Below are 18,157 nucleotides of genomic sequence, written 5' to 3'. Positions count from 1 at the left end.
ATCAAAAAGTGGGCTAAGGATATGAATAGACAGTTCTCAAAAGAAGATATACAAATGGCCAGCAAACATGAAAAAATGCTCAGCATCCCTAATGATCAGGGAAATGCAAATCAGAACCACAATGTGATACCACCTCACTCCTGCAAGAATGGCCATCATCAAAAAATCAAAAAGCAGTAGATAGATTTTAGTGTGCATGTGGTGAACAGGGAACACTTTTTTTTTTTTTTGGAGACAGTTTTGCTCTTGTCACCCAGGCTGGAGTGCATTGGCGCAATCTCAGCTCATTGCAACCTCTGCCTCCCAGGTTCAAGTGATTCTTCTGCCTCAACTTCCCTAGTAGCTGGGATTACAGACGTGTGCCACCACGTCCTGCTAATTTTTGTATTTTTAGTAGAGATGGGGTTTCATCATGTTGGCCAGGCTGGTCTTGAACTCCTGACCTCAGGTGATCCCACCCGCCTCGGCCTCCCAAAGTGCTGGGATTACAGGCCTGAACCACCGTGCTGGGCTGGGAGACATCTTCTAAGTACTTGGATAGTGTGGGGGGACAGGGTAGACACCTACACATAAATGGATGTTGTTAGGAGAGAGAAAGGGGGACATGGATACTCAGTGAACACACAGAAATGGCCACTATTGTGGTGATGTTGGTAATTAAACACCAACAGCCTTAATTATGCAAGAATTCTTGCAAATAATAGGGTTAACCATATGTTTAGACAATTTGGAGTAAAGAAAGCTTTAAAAATTACTTATACATATTGGTAAATTTAACATGAAGAGGGATCTAATAAAATATATGATATTGATATGCAGAAAAAGTCTAAGTATGATATTCCATGCTTATAGGAAATTTAATTTTGCGGGGAGAGTAGGCTGGAAGTTCGGAGTGATTGTTTCCTGTTACAGGCCAAAAAATTTGTTTGGTTACTTAGTGGTAGCATTTTGAGAGGAAAGTTTACAGAAAACTAGGGTTATTTTGTGATTATGCTTGAATTGTCTTTATTGTTTCCAAGGCATCTTTTTTTTTTCCTTCTAGTTATCAAGATGTTAGGTTCTGTGCCCTTGTGGGCCTTCCCTCTGCCCAAAAAAAGCATGGATGAGCAGAGTAATATCATTAAAATGGCAGTCTTTGTTAGTTTTTCTAGAGAAGATGGTCTCTTTGGTAGGCTGGGTGTATCTTCGGCAAATGAGTTATTTATACATATAAACTATTAAGTTGGCAAGTATTTCTTTTTTTTCTTTTTCTTTTTTTTTTTTTGAGATGGAGTTCCACTCTTGTCGCCCAGGCTGGAGTGCAATGGTGCGATCTCAGCTCACTGCAACTTCCACCTCCCGGGTTCAAGCGATTCTCCAGCCTCAGCCTCCCAAGTGGCTGGGATTATAGGCGCCCACCACTACGCCCAGCTATTTTTTTTTTGTATTTTTAGTAGAGATGGGGTTTCACCACGTCGGCCAGGTTAGTCTCGAACTCCTGACCTCAGGTGATCCACCCACCTCAGCCTCCCACAGTGCTGGGATTACAGGCATGAGCCACCATGCTTGGCCTAAGTTCGTAAGTATTTCTGTGTAAAACTGCAATTTCAGCTACATAGGTACTTTGTGAATGAATCATAGTAGAAGTTATTTAAAAATTCCTTTAAGTAAAAATTATAAACATGAACTAGAGCTATATATATCAGTGTGAATGAATCTTAAAAATATAAGGTTAGACCTCGAAAGCAAGTTGTATAAGAATATGTATAGTTTGCTGTTATTTATATAAATTTTAGAAACCTACAGAACCACTCATACAATGCTGGTAGAGTATAAATTGGTATCCTACCTCTACATGAGAGAGTGACAGCATTTATTAAAATTAACCTAACAATTCAACTTCTAGGAATTATTTTATAGATGTACTCGTGTATGAAATAATGGGTTATTCGCTGCCATATTGTTGTAAATATTAATACAAAACTTTCGAAGTAACCTTTCTAATAGTAATAGTTATGGTTTATCCATATAGTGAAATACCTTGCAAACATTAAGGAAGAAAAAGGGAGGAACTTTGTATATTTTAGAGAACAATTTCCAAGGTGTATTTTTAAGAGGAAAAAGTAGAACAGTGTGTTCAATATGCCTACCACTTATGTATAAAAGGCAGGGGCAAATCTGTATCTTAAATGTGACTGCTTTTATATATAGAGTATGTCTCTTTAAAGATACACACAAGACTGGTTACGTTAGTTGCTCAGTATAGGGGACTAGGTAAAGGAGGACATTGTGTTGCACCATAGATGCTTTTGTACTTTTGAACTGTGTGTATAGTGCAGGTATTGTGTTATCAAAATATATGCAATGACATTTGTAAAAATAAATATGAAAAATAATGTTACTATATTTTTTATGGATTCCTACCCATGTAAAAATATTTAAACGTGGGAAACACAAACACCAAATTCAGGATAGTGGTTACTTCTGAGGACAGATGAAGGATAAGGGAATCTGGGAGGAGTCATGCAGGGCTTGAGTTGTATTTGTAATGTTTTATTGCTTAAGCTGATGGTGGCTCATGGGTATTTGGAATGCCCTTGGTGTGCTTGAAATGTTTGTTTGCTTTCTTAAATTACGATCTATAGCTTTTAAAGCCCACCCTTCCCCAGGATTAAGCTATTTCCTTAACACGTTTTTATTCTTTCAATTTTAAAGTGGGAATGAAATGGTTAGGTGTCTAGAATATCTTTAGTAGATATTTCTATCTTTGCTGCTTCTCTGTCCTATTAAAATCCTCTGTTTCAAAGTATGATCTTGTTTCCCTTCAGGATTATATATCTAATTAGAAGAGCATTTGTTACAATGTTATGCAGTTAGACAAAGTTCCCTTTAGATAGCAATAGCATGGTTGTTAGCTAATATTTAGTTGACTAATCTGCTATTCTTGTGAGGGGGACATTGTGAATGCTGGTAATATTTGCTCTGAGTAATGTGCAAGTCTTCCGTGGCCAAAATATCTGTCTTCCGTTTCATTTAAAAGCAAAACCTTAGCACTATTCTAAAAACTGACAGTCTGAAGAATAAAGTTTGAATTTTGAAAAAGGGGGGAATCCCTTAGTAGTGCATATGCCTGACAGAGTCCATTTACTACATTCATTGATTGACTATGGAACAGCATTTAGTTTGGCTACAACTGAGTTTACTCACTGGGGAGAATATTTAGCCTGGTTTTGAGAAAACAGTTTAGTTTCTGATACCATGCCAAGCCCTTTGTCCCTCTCACTGCACAGTGATGGTGGGGAGAGTGGATAGGTCAAAAGACTTGGGAGTCGGAAGACCTGTCCCAACTTGATCACAATAGCTTTACTTCCACAACTTACAGAATCTCTTAGAGCCTCAGTTTCTTTATCTGTAAAAGACAATACCTCCATCATAGGTTTATGCTCAAATGTGATAATGTGAGTGTCTCCTAAGCTATTAGATGCCATATTTTAAAAAGTATTATGCTACTGAAGGCCGGGTGTGGTGGCTCACGCCTGTAATCCCAGCACTTTTGGGAGGCTAAGGCGGGCAGATCACGAGCTCAAGATATTGAGACCATCCTGGCCAACATGGTGAAACCCCATCTCTACTAAAAATACAAAAATCAGCTGGGTGTGGTGGCATGCGCCTGTTGTCCCAGCTACTCGGGAGGCTGAGGCAGGAGAATTGCTTGAACCCCGGAGGCAGAGGTTGCAGTGAGCCGAGATTGTGCCACTGCACTCCAGCCTGGCGACAGAGCGAGGCTCCATCTCAACAACAACAACAACAACAAAAAAAAAAAAAAAGAAAGAGTTGACTCCTGATAGACTATGAAGGCTGGGATACAAATTCAAAAAGCGGAAAACCACACGAGCTGGAACACTATAGGCTGGGAGCAAAAAGCCCTATCCTGCTAAATAACTCCCACTGCTGTCACTGTGTGAGGGTATAAGGAGCAGTTGATACTCATAAGTTAACATTTGTTTGGTTCCCAGTCTTCATGTACATGTGTTCCATTTAAGAAGTCATGATCATGTGTAGTACAATTAGAAAACCTGTTTTCAAAAAATATTACTTCTGTTAACTTGTTAATTTTAATGGTGAATATCATAGTTTAGAAAATCCACCCTCCTTTTCTTGTCAGGGACTGAGTGTGTGGTCCTGCTCCTGTTATGTATGGAGGCAAAGGGAAAGGGCTCCGGCCCCCTCAAAATCATGTCTTTGGTGCCAGCCGGTTCTGTTCTCAGTCACCTGGATACTGAACTTTCCTGAGCAGGGCAGAACTGAGATCCAGTGGGCTTCTCCCCAGGATGCTTACGCTTTTTCATTTGATTTCAGGTCTCCTCTTTCGCTTCCTATTGCAACCAATGAAGGCCATTCCTACCATAAGTAAATAAAAAAGAAAATCTATCTTTAATAAATAACAATTGTATATATTTATGGGGCACAATGTGATGTTTTGATACATGTATACATTCTGCACTGATCAAATCAGGCCAAGTAGTATATCCATCTCCTCAAATATTTATCATTTCTTTGTGGTGAGAACATTTAAAGTTCCCTTTTTTAACTCTTTTGAAAAATTAATATATTTACTGTAATCATGATGCTATGCAATACAACACCAGGATCCTGTTCCTCCTGACTGTAATTTTATGTAGCCATTGACCAATATCTTCCTTTTCCCCTCCAGCCCCACTTACCCCAGCTACTGGTAATCACCATTCTACTCTCTACTTCTGTGAGTTTGACTTTTTTAGATTCCAAATATAAGTGAGTCTCAGACACCTCTGACATACTGATTTCAATTCCTTTGGATATATACTCAGTAATGGGATTGCTGGATCATATAGTAATTCTATTTTTAGTTTTGTGAGGAACCTCTACACTGTTTTACAAAATGGCTGTATTTATAGTTTCACCAGCAGTGTATAAGTGTTCCATTTCTCTGTGACCTTGCTAACACTTATCTTTCACCTTTTTGATAATAGCCAGTCTAACAGGTGTGAGGTGATACCTTATTGTGGCTTTAATTTGCATTTCTCTTATGATTAGAGATGTTCAGCATTCTTTCATCTATCTGTTGGCCATTTGTTTGTCTTTTTTTTTATTTTTATTTTTGAGACAGTGTCTCACTCTGTTGCCCAGGCTGGAGTGCAGTGGCATGATCATGGCTCACTGCAGCCTTGACCTCCTGGGCTCAAGCGATCCTCCCACCTCTGCCTCCCAAGTAGCTGGGACTACAGGCATACACCACCACGCCTGGCTAATTTATGTATGTTTTATAGAGACAAGGTCTCACTGTGTTGCTTAGACTGGTCTTGTATTCTTGGGCTCAAGTGATCCACCCGCGTCGGCCTCCCAAAGTGCTGAGATTACAGGCATGAGCCACCATGCCTGGCCGGATATTAGCTATATATCTGATGCATGATTTGTAAATACGTTTTCTCAGTCTTTGGGTTGTCTCTTCACTCTATTTGTTTTTGCTTGTTTGTTTGTTTTTTTGAGATGCAGTCTCCCTCTGTCACCCAGGCTGGAGTGCAATGGCGTGATCTTGGCTCACTGCAGCGTCCGCCTCCCGGGTTCAAGCGATTCTTTTGCCTCAGCCTCATGAGTAGCTGGGACTACAGGTGTGCACCACTACGCTCAGCTAATTTTGTATTTTTAGTAGAGATAGGGCTTCACCATGTTGGTCAGGCTGGTCTCGAACTCCTGACCTTGTGATCCGCCTGCCTCGGCCTGCCAAAGTGTTGGGATTACGCGTCTGGCCTGTTTGTTTGTTTTTTGCTGTTCAGAAGCTTTTTAGTTTGATGTCATCCCATTTGTTTATTATTGCTTTTGTTGCCTGTGCATTAGGGGATCATATACAAGAAATGATTGCCCAAACCTGTGTCATGGAGCTTCTCGCCTAAGTTTTCTTCTAGTAGATTTGTAATTTCAGGTCCTAAATTTAATCCATTTTAAGTTGATACTTGTTAAGGGGTGAGATAAGGGTCCATTTCCATTCTTCTGTATGTGGCTATCCAGTTTTCCAAATGACATTATTGAAGAGACTGTCCTTTCCACATTGTGTAGTCTTGGCACCTTTGTCAAAAATCCATTGATTATAGATATATGCATTTATTCTGGGCTATCCATCCTATTCCATTGGTGGACATGTCTGTTTTTATGTCAGTGCCGTGCTGTTTTAATTACTATAGGTTTGTAATATATTTTCAAACATGGTAGTGTGATGCCTCCAGCTTTGTTCTCTTTGGACCTAAAGTCTATTTTGTCTGAAATAAATATAGCTATCTCTGTTCTCTTTTTGTTTGCATTTGTATGGAATATCTTTTTCAGTCCCTTCATTTTCAGTCTATGAGTGTCCTTTATGGTGAAGTGAGTCTCTTTATAGGCAGCGCAGAGTTGGATCTTGTTTTTTATCCATTTAGCCACTCTATGCCTGTTGTTTGGAGAATTTAATCTGTTTACATTGGAAGTAATTATTGATAGGTAAGGACTTAGTAGTGCCATTTTGTTAATTGTTTTCTAGTGTTTCTGTAGAACCTTTGTCCCTTTCTCTATTACTTTCCCCCTTTGTGGCTCGATTGCTTTCTGTAGTGGTCCACTTTGGATTTTTTCTTTTTATCTTTTGCAAAAGCAAAGGCTTTTGCTTTGTAGTTACCCTGTGGCTTACACAAAACATCTTATAACTGGTATATAAGCTGATAACAAGTTAACTTTGATCACATACACACATTCTACATTTTTACTCCCCCTCTTCCATGTTTTATGTTCATGATGTCACGATATACATTTAAAAAATAATTTGTATCTTTAACAAATTATTGTAGCTTTATTATTATTATTATTATTATTATTATTTTGAGATGGAGTTTCACTCTTGTTGCCGGGACTGGAGTGCAGTGGCGTGATCTTGGCTCACCCCAACCTCCACCTCCTGGGTTCAAGCTATTCTCCTGCCTCAGCCTCGTGAGTAGCTGGGATTACAGGCATGCGCCACCACGCCCGGCTAATTTTGTATTTTTAGTAGAGACGGGGTTTCTCCATGTTGGTCAGGCTGGTCTCAAACTCCCAACCTCAGGTGATATGCCCGCTTCGGCCTCCCAAAGTGCTAGGATTACAGGTGTGAGCCACCGCGCCTGGCTAGCTTTAACTATTTTTAATAGTTTTATCTTTTAACCTTTATACTAGATATATAATTCATTTACTTACCACCATTACAGTATTAGTGTGTTTTGGGGTTGACAGTATACTTACTTTTTCCAGTGAGTTTTATACTTTTCATGTTTTCCTGTCACTCATTAGTGTCTTCTTTATTCAGCTTGAAGAAGTTTCTTTACCATTTCTTTTTCTGTTTCTTTTTGTTTGTTTGAGACAAAGTCTCACTTTGTTGCCTAGGCCAGAGTGCAGTGGTGAGATCTTGGCTCACTGCAACCTCTGCCTGCTCTGTTCAAGTGATCCTTCCACTCAGCCTCCCAAGTAGCTAGGATTACAGGCGTGCACCACCACTGGCAGCTTTTTTTTTTTTTTTTTTTTTTTTTTGTATTTTTAGTAGAGACAGGGTTTCACCATGTTGGCCAGGCCAGTTTTGAACTCCTAACCTCAAGTGCTCTGCCTGCCTCGGCCTCCCAAGGTGCTGGGATTACAGGCGTGAGCCACCATGCCTGACCACTGTTTTTCATTCTTTATCCTTTTTTCTTCTTCAGATTGTATGATTTCCAGTGGCCTGTCTTCTAATTACTAATCTTTTCTTCTGCTTGATGTAGCCTGTGGTTGAACCCCTTTATTGAATTTTTCAGTTCAGTTATACTATTCCTCAGCTCTATGATTACTGTTTGGTACTTCTTTAGAAAATCCACTTTTCAACTGATAAACTAACTATATCCATTTCTAGGGCTGCCGTAACAATGCCACAGACTCAATGACTTACAGCAACAGAAAATTATTCTTTGCCAGTACTGGAGGTGAGAAATTTGAAATCAAAGGGCCATCAGGGCCATGTTTCTTCTGAAGGCTCTAGTGGAGAATCTGTTCCTTGCCTCTTCCAGCTGCTGCTGCTTTTTTTTTTTTTTTTGAGACGGAGTCTCACTCTGTCACCCAGAATAGAGTGCAGTGGCATGATCTCAGCTCACTGCAACCTCCGCCTCCTGGGTTCAAGTGATTCTCCTGCCTCAGTCTCTCAAGTAGCTGGGACTATAGGTGTGTTCCACCACTCCTGGCTAATTTTTCTATTTTTAGTAGAGATGGAGTTTCGCCATGTTGGCCAGGCTGGTCTCGAACTCCTGACCTCAGGTGATCTCCCCGCCTCGGCCTCCCAAAGTGCTGGGATTACAGGCGTGAGCCACCGTGCCCAGCCCTCTTTCACCTTCTTGTGGCTCCTGATGTTCCTTGGTTTGTGATAGCATAACTCCAGTCTCTGCCTCTGTCTTCAAATGGCTGCGCTCGCTTGCTCTCTCTCTCTCTCTCTCTCTCTCTCTCTCTCTCTCTCTGTGTGTGTGTGTGTGTGCTCTCCTCTTCTTGTAAGGATACCAGGCATTAGATATAGGGCTCACCCTAAATCCAGTAAGATTTCATCTTCAAATCCTTCACTAGTCACGTCTGAAAAGATCCTATTTCCAAATAAGATAACAATCAGAGATTCTGGGTTGACATAGATTTTGTGGGGACGTTATTCACTTCACTACACTTGTTTTTATATTTTGTATACTTTTAGTTTTATGCTTTCTTTCTTAGTTTTTGAGTAACTTTTAAATTGGTTTGATAGAATGTATTAGTAAAATGTCTGTGGGCTGGGCGTGGTTGGTTAATGCCTGTAATCCCAGCACTTTGGGAGGCCGAGGGGGGGCGGATCACCTGCGGTCAGGAGTTCAAGACCAGCCTGACCAACATGGTGAAACCCCATCTCTACTAAACATACAAAAATTAGCCGGGCGAGGTGGTAGGTGCCTGTAATCCCAGCTACTTGGGAGGCTGAGGTAGGAGAATCGCTTGAACCCAGGAGGCGGAGGTTGCAGTGAGCTGAGATCATGCCATTGCACTCCAGCCTGGGCAACAAGAGCAAAACTCCGTCTCAAAAATAAAAAATAAATAAAATAAAATAAAATGTCTGTGGAATCCTAAGACATTGAAATTGATATGAGGCAGGTTTTCAGTACACTGGATTCATGTTCTGATACAGGAAGGAGGTCATAGTAGCAGTGCCTGGCACATAGTAGGTGCTGGTACTCAAATATTTCTTGAATGAATGAATTTGTATGATTGAATGCATTTCTGGATAATTCTTATTACTACAAGGAATTCAGTCTATTCTTTTCAAAACTGTATATACATTAAGAATTTCTCTGATATGTTTAACTTCCATTTATGTTTTATTAAAAGGATGTGTATTTTTACATGTCTTCTGAGGATTATCTTTTTAAAAAAATCAAATTTCACTTAACCATGTTCGGAAAAAGCATAACTTTAAGAGTCTGACCTGGGTTGAAGTTTTGGCTTTTCCACTCATTAGCTGTGTAACTTTGGGCAAGTTATTTCATCTTTCTGTGCCTCAGTTTCCTGTAAAATGTTGCTAATAATGCCAAGTCTTCCAGGTTGGTGAGAGTGTGTCAGTATGTTTGGGTACAAAGTGAGTATGCTGCAAATATTAACTAGTAAGTTGTATACTTTAATTATGTATTGTAAAGGAACTAGATTTATGTTGTAAAAAATTGTTTTTGTTAAAAAAAGAGCCCTTGTTTATTAAAACTCACATCAAATTAAGCTGCTTTTTTCCTCTGTGTTCTTCTGTGACCAAACAAGTGTTCCTGTAGTAGGTGAAATCACTGTCAAGGATTGGTGTTATGTGTATATATGTCTGATAGTAATCTGTTGAACATTAACCAAAGTCAGGAAATGAGTTGAACTTTGGAAGGTAGAAATCTGAGGATTGGTGGTAGTGGTGGTGGGGTAGGAGTGGTGGAGCGGGTTGGAGGGATTGAAGTATATGGGAATGGGAGCTAGATACATTAAAATGACAGCTATTATTTATTTAGCACTTATGTACCTGGATAAAGGAATGCTATTGCATCTACATGGATAGGTATCACCAATCAGAGCTGAGATAAAACTGGCTATTCAGAGATTAAAACAAATAATTCAGGGCTGATTAGATACAGATGGGGGAACAGGTCTGGGAGCAGTGGAAAATAAATAACCCTAAATAATAAAGGCTACCATTTATTTATCAATCACTTGCTATATGCCAGGCATTGTGGAAAGTGCTTTACAAACACTATTCCATGTATCTGTTATAGTCACCCTTATGGAGTATGTGGTATTCTTATTTTAAAGATGAGTAAATAGAAGGTTGTAGTTTCTTTAACTTGCCCAAGTCAAACATCTAGTAAGTACCTTCAAACAGGAATAAAACCGAGGTCTGTGCGACTATAAAATCTATGCTTTGTATACATACTGCTTTCACATGTGCAATTGGAATTAGGGGTTCAACCCTATTCAACTCTACTTCCAAAAAAGGTGAATCTGCTAATACTACTTCCAATTGTTTTTTTCCCCTTTGGAAATTTTTTTTTTTGAGATGGAGTCTCGCTCTGTTGCCCAGGCTGGAGTGCAGTGGCATGATCTCCGCTCACTGTAACCTCCGCCTCTCGGGTTCAAGCGATTCTCCTGCCTCAGCCTCCTAAGTAGCTGGGATTACAGGTGCGTGCCAACACGCCTGGTTAATTTTTTTTGTATTTTTAGTAGAGATGGGGTTTCAGCATGTTGGCCAAACTGGTCTCGAACTCCTGACCTTGTGATCCACCCACCTCGTCCTCCAAAGTGCTGGGATTACAGGCTTGAGCCACCGCACTCGGCCTTGGAAATTTTTTTTCTAACTGATAAGAATACAAAGCAGCAAGTAAAATTCAAAAAGGATCACAGTGGAATAACTTTTCATTTTAGCATATTAACATTTTTATATGATTTTTTTGTGTAGCTAAAAAATGTAAAATGCATATATAATTTTTTTTTATGTTTGTAAGAACATTTTCTATAGTTTTCCTATGAGAGTCTGTTAGGTTGGAATAACAATGTATTAAACTGTTCTCTGAAATTGGTCAGCCTTTTGTTCTTACATAATACACTGTAATGAACATATTTATGCACATTTTTTTCATCAACTTTTAAATCAAATTCTTAGAAGGAAAACTACAGATTAAAAAAGAAAAGATCCTGATCATGTAATTTGTGTGTGTGTTTATGAATTTGAATGATCTCTTGGCATGGCTGTCAGGGCACTGCCTCTATTCCTGCCACTGTGATACGATCATACTTTTGTGATTTCTTCTATTACTTCAAAAGGGAAGAAGTTATACCACCATACTTTAAAACAATTAATTTATAATTTGATGAAATGCTCAAGTATTAGAAAAAAGTTTTATGGTATATCTTGATTGGTTATGGATTTTGTTCTGCTTATTATGCCTTCTTTTGGGTGGTTGGGGGGCTTCTGTTATTTACAGGTGGATTAATATTCTGCTCCGTATTACTCATGAGTTAAATTATACTCAATTCCCTATTCCGTAGTTACCACCTTCCCTCCTATTTTTGCTAATTTCCTCCTCATTTTTTGTTGTGTGTTCTATAAAATTTCCCATCACATTATTATTGCTACTACCTACTGTTTTCTAAATGATTTTAATTGTATTGTAAAATTCTTCTTGCTCTGCTCTAATTTCATACCTCCTATATTTTCTTATCACTCTGAAAATAGTTAATAAATTTTGCTAATACAATCATGCATTTCATGGATGAGTTTAATGTCTATTCATTTTTTTGTTTTATTCTTTTGTATTATAAGACTTTTTGCTTTTTCTCACTTTACTGTTATTTTTGTCATCATTACAGGCCGGGAAGGTCCCATAGCCCAGGTTGCTTTTGGTCAATACTGTTTTCCCCAGCAGCATTAACTGGCATGTAGGAGATGCTCAGTACATAATGCCAAAATAATGAATTTGAGAGAATGCTTTGAATTCCTATTCCAGTTCCTTATTAAATGACAGGATATATGTCCAGAGTTTTGGATAAGCTCCAGTCATTTCTTAAAGTTAATTGGGGTTGAAGTTCAGTTGAGCAGGGTATCATAGGAGTTTGGTTGGTTTGTGATGGTTTGGGAGTTCAGGCCCAAATTGGATTCTGTCTTAGTATTCTTTCCAGGTCTTGAGTCCACCAGTATTATCCAGTATTGTGGCTATTTCCCAGTCCTGTTTCAGCTGAGCAGCTGTCAAGAGAAAGTCTGTGCCAAGCCAGAGCTTGGAGATTCTTGGAGGATGTGTTTAGCACCATGCTTAGGTTTCAACATACTTGTTCTAAGAAAAAAGATACTTCCTGAAGCAAGCTTTAACAGTCAAGTTGGCTGCTCTTAATCACATCTAATTAGTACTGGAGATTGGAGAAAGCCTTATTAGAAATTAGAATGTGCTTCATTTCCACAGTTGATTTCAGCTGTGATTATAGGGTTGCCTTCCTTCTTTCTCTTATACATTTCATACTACACCCCCATCCTCCTAATATAGTTATATCGTACTTTTAATAAAACCTATATTTGGTTTTTTCATAATTGTGGCTGTGTAAATACTATTTGCTAAGTCAGTATCTATGACTATGTTTTATTTCTTACAGAACTTTAATTTTACTGGCATTCATGAATTATCTCATTTTTTTCATTTGTTTAATTTTTTTACCTAAAGCTTAATTTCTTACATCTTCCAGTGCCTTTGTAAAATCCCTCAGAAATAACTATCTTGGATTCTCTGTCACATTCCTGTCTGGATTTGTTGCCTTCTAGGCCTTCTCCATATGTTACTGTGACTTTGCTTCACCATTTTGAGATTCTCTTAGTTTTTCTCCTATATTGGATCCCTTCTTTGCTGGATTCCATGCCATCTTTCTTGGGTTTCTTCCTGATTTTGATGGAATATATATTCTCCAGTAGGTTCCTGAGAAAGGGTGCACAAAGGTTAAATTTTTGGAGACTTAGCCTCATGACTGTCTAAATTCTACTGGTGATCATATCCCCAAAAGACCAAATCCCTAATGCCATAATCCCAAATGTTGAAATACTGAAAGATCAAAATCTCTAAAAATCAGAATCCCTAAATTCTAAAAATCTCACACATCTGAAATCCTGAAAATCAGAATCATGAAAGATTAAAATCCCAAATGTTGAAATGCTGAAAGCCAACACCTGGGGTAGAAATTAGTGCACATTCGGTTGTATGAAAGATAGTTGCATCATTTTACTTGCATCATATTAGGTGGAACCGATTGCCTTTTTATTGTATTTATTTGGAAATTAAGTATGGTTTAAGGAGATGGTTTATGGGTGCCAAATTGACGAGGGGTGGATTCATGGATTTAATTTTAGGTGTCAACTTGACTGGATTAAGAAATACCTAGAAACTTGTTAAAGCATTATTTTGGGTTTGTCTGTGAGGAGATTAGTATGTGAGTCTGAGTGGACTAGGTGGGGAAGATCTGCCCTCAATAGCGGTGGCCACCATTAAATCTGCTGGGGGCCCAGAGAAAACAAATTGTTGCCTTTCTGAGAGCTGGAACGGACTTTTCTTCTGCTGAATTGAACATCAGAACTCCAGGCTTGTTGGCATTTGGACTCTAGGACATACACCAGCAGCCCCCTGGGTCCTGGGCTTTCAGCCTCAGACTGAGACCTGGTTTGGCTTGGTTCTGAGGTCTTTGGACTGAGCCAAGCTACCAGCATGCCAGGGTCTCCAGCTTGAAAATGACCTGTCCTGGAACTTATCAGCCACTATAATCGCATGAGCCAATTCCCCTAATAAATCGTCTCTCATATATCTATGTATATATATATCTTATTGGTTATGTCTCTCAAGAATGCTGTCTGTCGAGAATTATGTCTGTCGAGAATGCTGACTAATACGGATTTGGTATTGAGAAAGCCAAATATCATTCCTTCTTACTGTATTCCTTACAGCACAGTGGAAGAGACCTGTGAAATTGTTCCCTTGCAAAAAGGCTGTGATAAATTAAGTATACCAGGCTACTTAATGCTGAAAGAGAAAAGTTTAAAAGCTAATTATTATTGGTGTTGTGAAGACAGAAAATCACTTAATTGCAATGGCCAAGCAATAACCAGATTTCTAAATGGTCAGCATATACTTACAAAATATTTAGACCACAACCGCTCTAGTCTAAACACAAGTGAATGTTTTGAAGATCATAGAAGTGAATATGCAGGTGAAAAATATAAGAAAGCTCCCCTGCCAAATTATTCAATCAGGTATGACTTCTGCCCTTTCACACATAGTGCCAATTTGCTATGCTATGTATTTTATCTTTGCATCATTTCTAATACTGCAGGTATAAATTCTGTAAAGGCTTTTAGAGAATTCTAATTCATTTTATGCACTTTTTTTTTGCATATTTGACTCCATGAAAGTGCATTATCACAATGTGACGTAATGTGTAAGCATTGTGCATGTACATAAAAATGTTGAAACTTGCTCAGTAAATGAAGAGATGTCCGTTTTGTTCATCTGTATTTGTGAAAGATAAAATTTCTCAAGATCTTGGCTCTTTGGGTGACTCTATTGCAGTTTTTGTGCAAACGGTAGTGACCCATTGCAGTTTTTGATCGATCTTGTCAGAAGATTCAGGTTGTCTGGTATTTCAGATGACCGCAGTTATGAATCTGGGTGCACCTGATTACCAACCATAGTGATACGTGTTTATCCATTTTGCTTTTTAATCTATTTCTTCATGAATACATTTTCTCTGTTCCTATTATACCCATGCAATGGTTGTTAGTATACCTGAGTATTTATGCTTGCAAAAATATGTTATTAGTGCCTATTTTATTGTGTAAAGGGGCCTATGAACTGTTCCGTTGTGTTTTTATGTTTCTCAAATAAATCTTTTAAAAATGGAAATAAGTGTCTTTTAGAGAACTTTTTACAAATTATTTTTCCAGAATTCAATTTTTTGGATTTTGTTCTTTTGGGATTGTGATTTTTGGAATTTTAGATTTTAGGGATTTTGATCTTTTGGGATTTCAACATTTGGGATTATGGCATTTGGGATTGTGTCTTTTGGGATTATGTCCTAAACCCAAATTCTGTCACCACCGACTGTCTAGTGATAACATTTAAAATGGAAAGATAAAATGACTTGATTTTTTTTTTCCCTTTATTTTTAACTGCATTTAAAAAAATAGAGGCTGGGCATGGTGGCTCACACCTATAATCCTAGCACTTTGGGAAGTTGAGGCTGGTGGATTGCTTGAACTGAGGAGTTTGAGACCATCCTGGTCAATATGGTAAAACATCATTTCTACAGAAAAATACAAAAAAATTATCTGGGTGTGGTGGGGCCTGCCTGTAGTCCCAGCTACTTGGGAGGCTGAGATGGGAGGATCACCTGATCACCTGAGCCTGGGGAGGTTAACGCTGCAGTGAGCTCTGATTGTGACACGGCACTCCACCCTGGGTGATAGAGTGACACCCTGTCTCAAAAAAAAAAAAAAAAAAAAAAAAATTAAAAAACAGGAAAAAAAATTTAAAACACAGAGAAACCAAAAAAACTAGAAACCACATGCACATGAACCAGAATTTCAAAGGTATAAGAGGTTATGGATGGGGAAATGTATCTATGACATGAGAGAGTCTTTTGGGATGATGGAACTGTTCTGTATCTGACTATATAATGCTGGTTACACCAATTTCTATATGTTTTAATATCCATATAAATGATACTAAAAGAAAAATTTTAGTCTGTGTGTATGATAGGTTAAAAGGTGAAAAATTAAAAGAATTTAAAAATACGAAAAGGTATACAGCAAAAAAGTCTCCTTCCCCTCTTCCTTTAGTCTTCTAGCTTTCTCTTCTGGAAGAAACCACTGTTACCAATTTCTTATGTATTCTCCTATGTAATCACTCTTAAACATCTGAACATTTGGGATGAATCTGGCAAAAGAGAAAATAACTTATATTTGCTTAGCTATTTTCTGAGGATGCTAGATGACTACTCTTATAATATGTCTAAATATATTATTATTTTTATTTTGTTGAGGCAGAGTCTCAATCATCACCCCAGACTGGAGTGCAGTGGTGCAATCTGGGCTCACTGCAACCTCTGCCTCCCAGGTTCAAGTGATTCTCCTGCTTCACCTCCCAAGTAGCTGGGATTACAGGCATGTGCCACCACTGCACCCAGCTAATTTTTGTATTTGTTTGTTTGTTTGAGACAGAGTTTTGCTCTTGTTGCCCAAGCTGGAGTGCAGTGGTGTGATCTCGGCTCACTGCAACCTCCGCCTCCTGGGTTCAAGCGATTCTCCTGCCTCAGCCTCCCGAGTAGCTGGGATTACAGCTGTGTACCAGCACGCCTCGCCAATTTTTTGTATTTTTAGTAGAAACGGGGTTTCACCATGTTAGCCGGGCTGGTCTCGAACTCCTGATCTCAGGTGATCTGCCCGCCTCGGCCTCCCAAAGTGCTGGGATTACAGGCATGAGCCACCGCTCCCGGCCATTAATTTTTGTATTTTTTAGTAGAGATGGGGTTTTGCCATGTTGGCCAGATTGGTTTCGAACTCCTGACCTCAAGTGATCTACTCGCCTCGGCCTCCCAAAGTGCTGGGATTACAGGCATGAGCCACTGCACCGGGCCAGAATATGTGTAAATATATTATTAATCATACTTAGTACTAATTTATTAAATTACTTCTTTTACAGTTGGCAAACATGAATTGACTGGGCATAAAGTAGCTGTGAAGATACTCAATCGACAGAAGATTCGGAGCCTTGATGTGGTAGGAAAAATCCGCAGAGAAATTCAGAACCTCAAGCTTTTCAGGCATCCTCATATAATTAAACTGTAAGCTCTGTTTATATTAAATATAGTCCAGTCATCTTTTCATCTTTTTTGTTAACCTACTTAATGTGACAAGTGAGAAAAATGACTGACACTTCTTTTTGTTTCCTAAGGGTTTTGAAAAGTTTCTTCCTAGGCTGTGTGCGGTGGCTCACACCTGTAATTCCAGTACTTTGGGAGGCTGAGGCAGGCGGATCACCTGAGGTCAGGAGTTCGAGACCAGCCTGGCCAACATGGTGAAACCCTGTCTCCAGTAAAAATACAAAAATTAGCTGGGCATGGTGGTGGGCGCCTGTAATACCAGCTACTCGGGAGGCTAAGGCAGGAGAATGGCTTGAACCTGGGAGGCGGAGGTTGCAGTGAGCTGAGATCGTGCCATTGCACTCCAGCTTGGGCAACAAAAGCGAAACTCTGTCCCAAAAAAAAATAAAAGTTTCTTCCCATTCATGTATTTTTCTAACCCCATTGATGGTCATTTAAGCCTGTGTTCATGTTTTGCCCTTGTGCTTATCAGCTGTTATCTTCTCATTCTTTCCTGTCTCCTGGAAAGATGCTCTTCTGGTAATGTTTGGTGCCCCATTGCTGTAAAACCAACAGTGATCTGCTAGTAAAAACTCTTGACCTCCAAATGCCCACATGATGTCAGTTAGCCTCACTAGTGAGAATGCGGTAGTAGAAAGGGTTTTTCCCCATCCTGCTTATACCTGAACATATAGATAACAAAATTTCAGGAATCCAAGGTTTCAAAAGGGCAGTAATCTTACTGTTGTTTTACAGTTGCCAGTTATAGAGTCTACAAATAACTATTTCCTGCTCAGCTTCTGCTTTGTTATGCAGGCAATAACTTAAAGATGCTTAGGTTTTTCTCCTGAACTGGCTGACTCAAACTTGTTTCACTCTTACCTCTTCTCATTTGTTGAGTGCTAGGTTTTAAATACCATCCATATGCTGACCACCCCTAAATGTACATCTCTTGCTTTAAGATCTCTTCTTACACCAGACTTATTTGCTCACTGCTGACTTTACATTTCCATTTGGATGTTCGCAAGACATTTAAAACTCAACCCGGCCCAAAATGAACTCTTTATTACTCTCCCAAACCTGCTCTTCCCACAGTTTTCACCATCTTGGCTAACAGCCAATGACCCAGGGCTAAAACTTAGGAACCATTTTTAACTTCCCTGTTTCTTTCACTTTCTACCATGCATTTCATTTCTTCCTTCACAATCAAGCTAGGATTTGATTGCTTCTCAGTTCCTTTATTGCTGTCAAC

General features: G+C 39.0%; 1 protein-coding gene, 1 long non-coding RNA gene and 1 other non-coding gene across 12 annotated transcripts in view, besides 2 other annotated features; 2 read left to right on the top strand and 1 right to left on the bottom strand.

Annotated features, from left to right (window-relative positions):
• PRKAA1 (protein kinase AMP-activated catalytic subunit alpha 1) overlaps positions 1 to 18,157 on the top strand; it is a 38,986-nt gene that overhangs the window by 4,043 nt on the left and 16,786 nt on the right. For 6 of the 9 annotated variants that reach the window (NM_006251.6, NM_206907.4, NM_001355029.2 and 3 more), the window contains exon 2: positions 16,746 to 16,887. In NM_006251.6, the coding sequence (NP_006242.5) occupies positions 16,746 to 16,887 (142 nt within the window). Of the gene's footprint in view, positions 1 to 13,993; positions 14,300 to 16,745; positions 16,888 to 18,157 lie in introns of those variants that run through there. The other 3 variants (NM_001355028.2, XM_017009624.2, NM_001355036.2) reach the window with 2 other exon arrangements.
• Positions 4,128 to 4,261, top strand: LOC124900202 (small nucleolar RNA SNORA57). Its single transcript, XR_007059151.1, has one exon. It is a non-coding gene; the product is annotated as a small nucleolar RNA SNORA57 (small nucleolar RNA).
• Positions 4,299 to 18,157, bottom strand: part of LOC124900968 (uncharacterized) — a 27,017-nt gene continuing 13,158 nt past the window's right edge. Inside the window, exons 2-3 of one of the 2 annotated variants that reach the window (XR_007058747.1) lie at positions 12,723 to 12,977; positions 4,299 to 4,380 (exon numbers count right to left, since the gene is read on the bottom strand). This is a non-coding gene — a long non-coding RNA (uncharacterized LOC124900968). Of the gene's footprint in view, positions 4,381 to 11,777; positions 12,978 to 18,157 lie in introns of those variants that run through there. The other variant, XR_007058746.1, reaches the window with a different exon arrangement.
• Positions 9,804 to 9,948: an enhancer, noted in NCBI's record as "145 bp enhancer 12 fragment used in the MPRA reporter construct; PK_construct_421". NCBI's record gives its function as "activates an SV40 promoter by MPRA in HepG2 cells {active_cell/tissue: HepG2}" and the evidence as "EXISTENCE:reporter gene assay evidence [ECO:0000049][PMID:23512712]".
• Positions 9,870 to 9,883: a transcriptional cis regulatory region, noted in NCBI's record as "HNF1 motif; enhancer activity is reduced when this motif is scrambled". NCBI's record gives its function as "necessary for full MPRA enhancer 12 activity {active_cell/tissue: HepG2}" and the evidence as "EXISTENCE:site-directed mutagenesis evidence [ECO:0005528][PMID:23512712]".

The sequence above is a fragment of the Homo sapiens genome, chromosome 5 (genome assembly GCF_000001405.40).
Source record: "Homo sapiens chromosome 5, GRCh38.p14 Primary Assembly".
Taxonomy (NCBI): Eukaryota; Metazoa; Chordata; class Mammalia; order Primates; family Hominidae; genus Homo; species Homo sapiens.
Note: the sequence above shows the minus strand (reverse complement) of the source record. Positions and strands in the feature narration are given on the sequence as shown.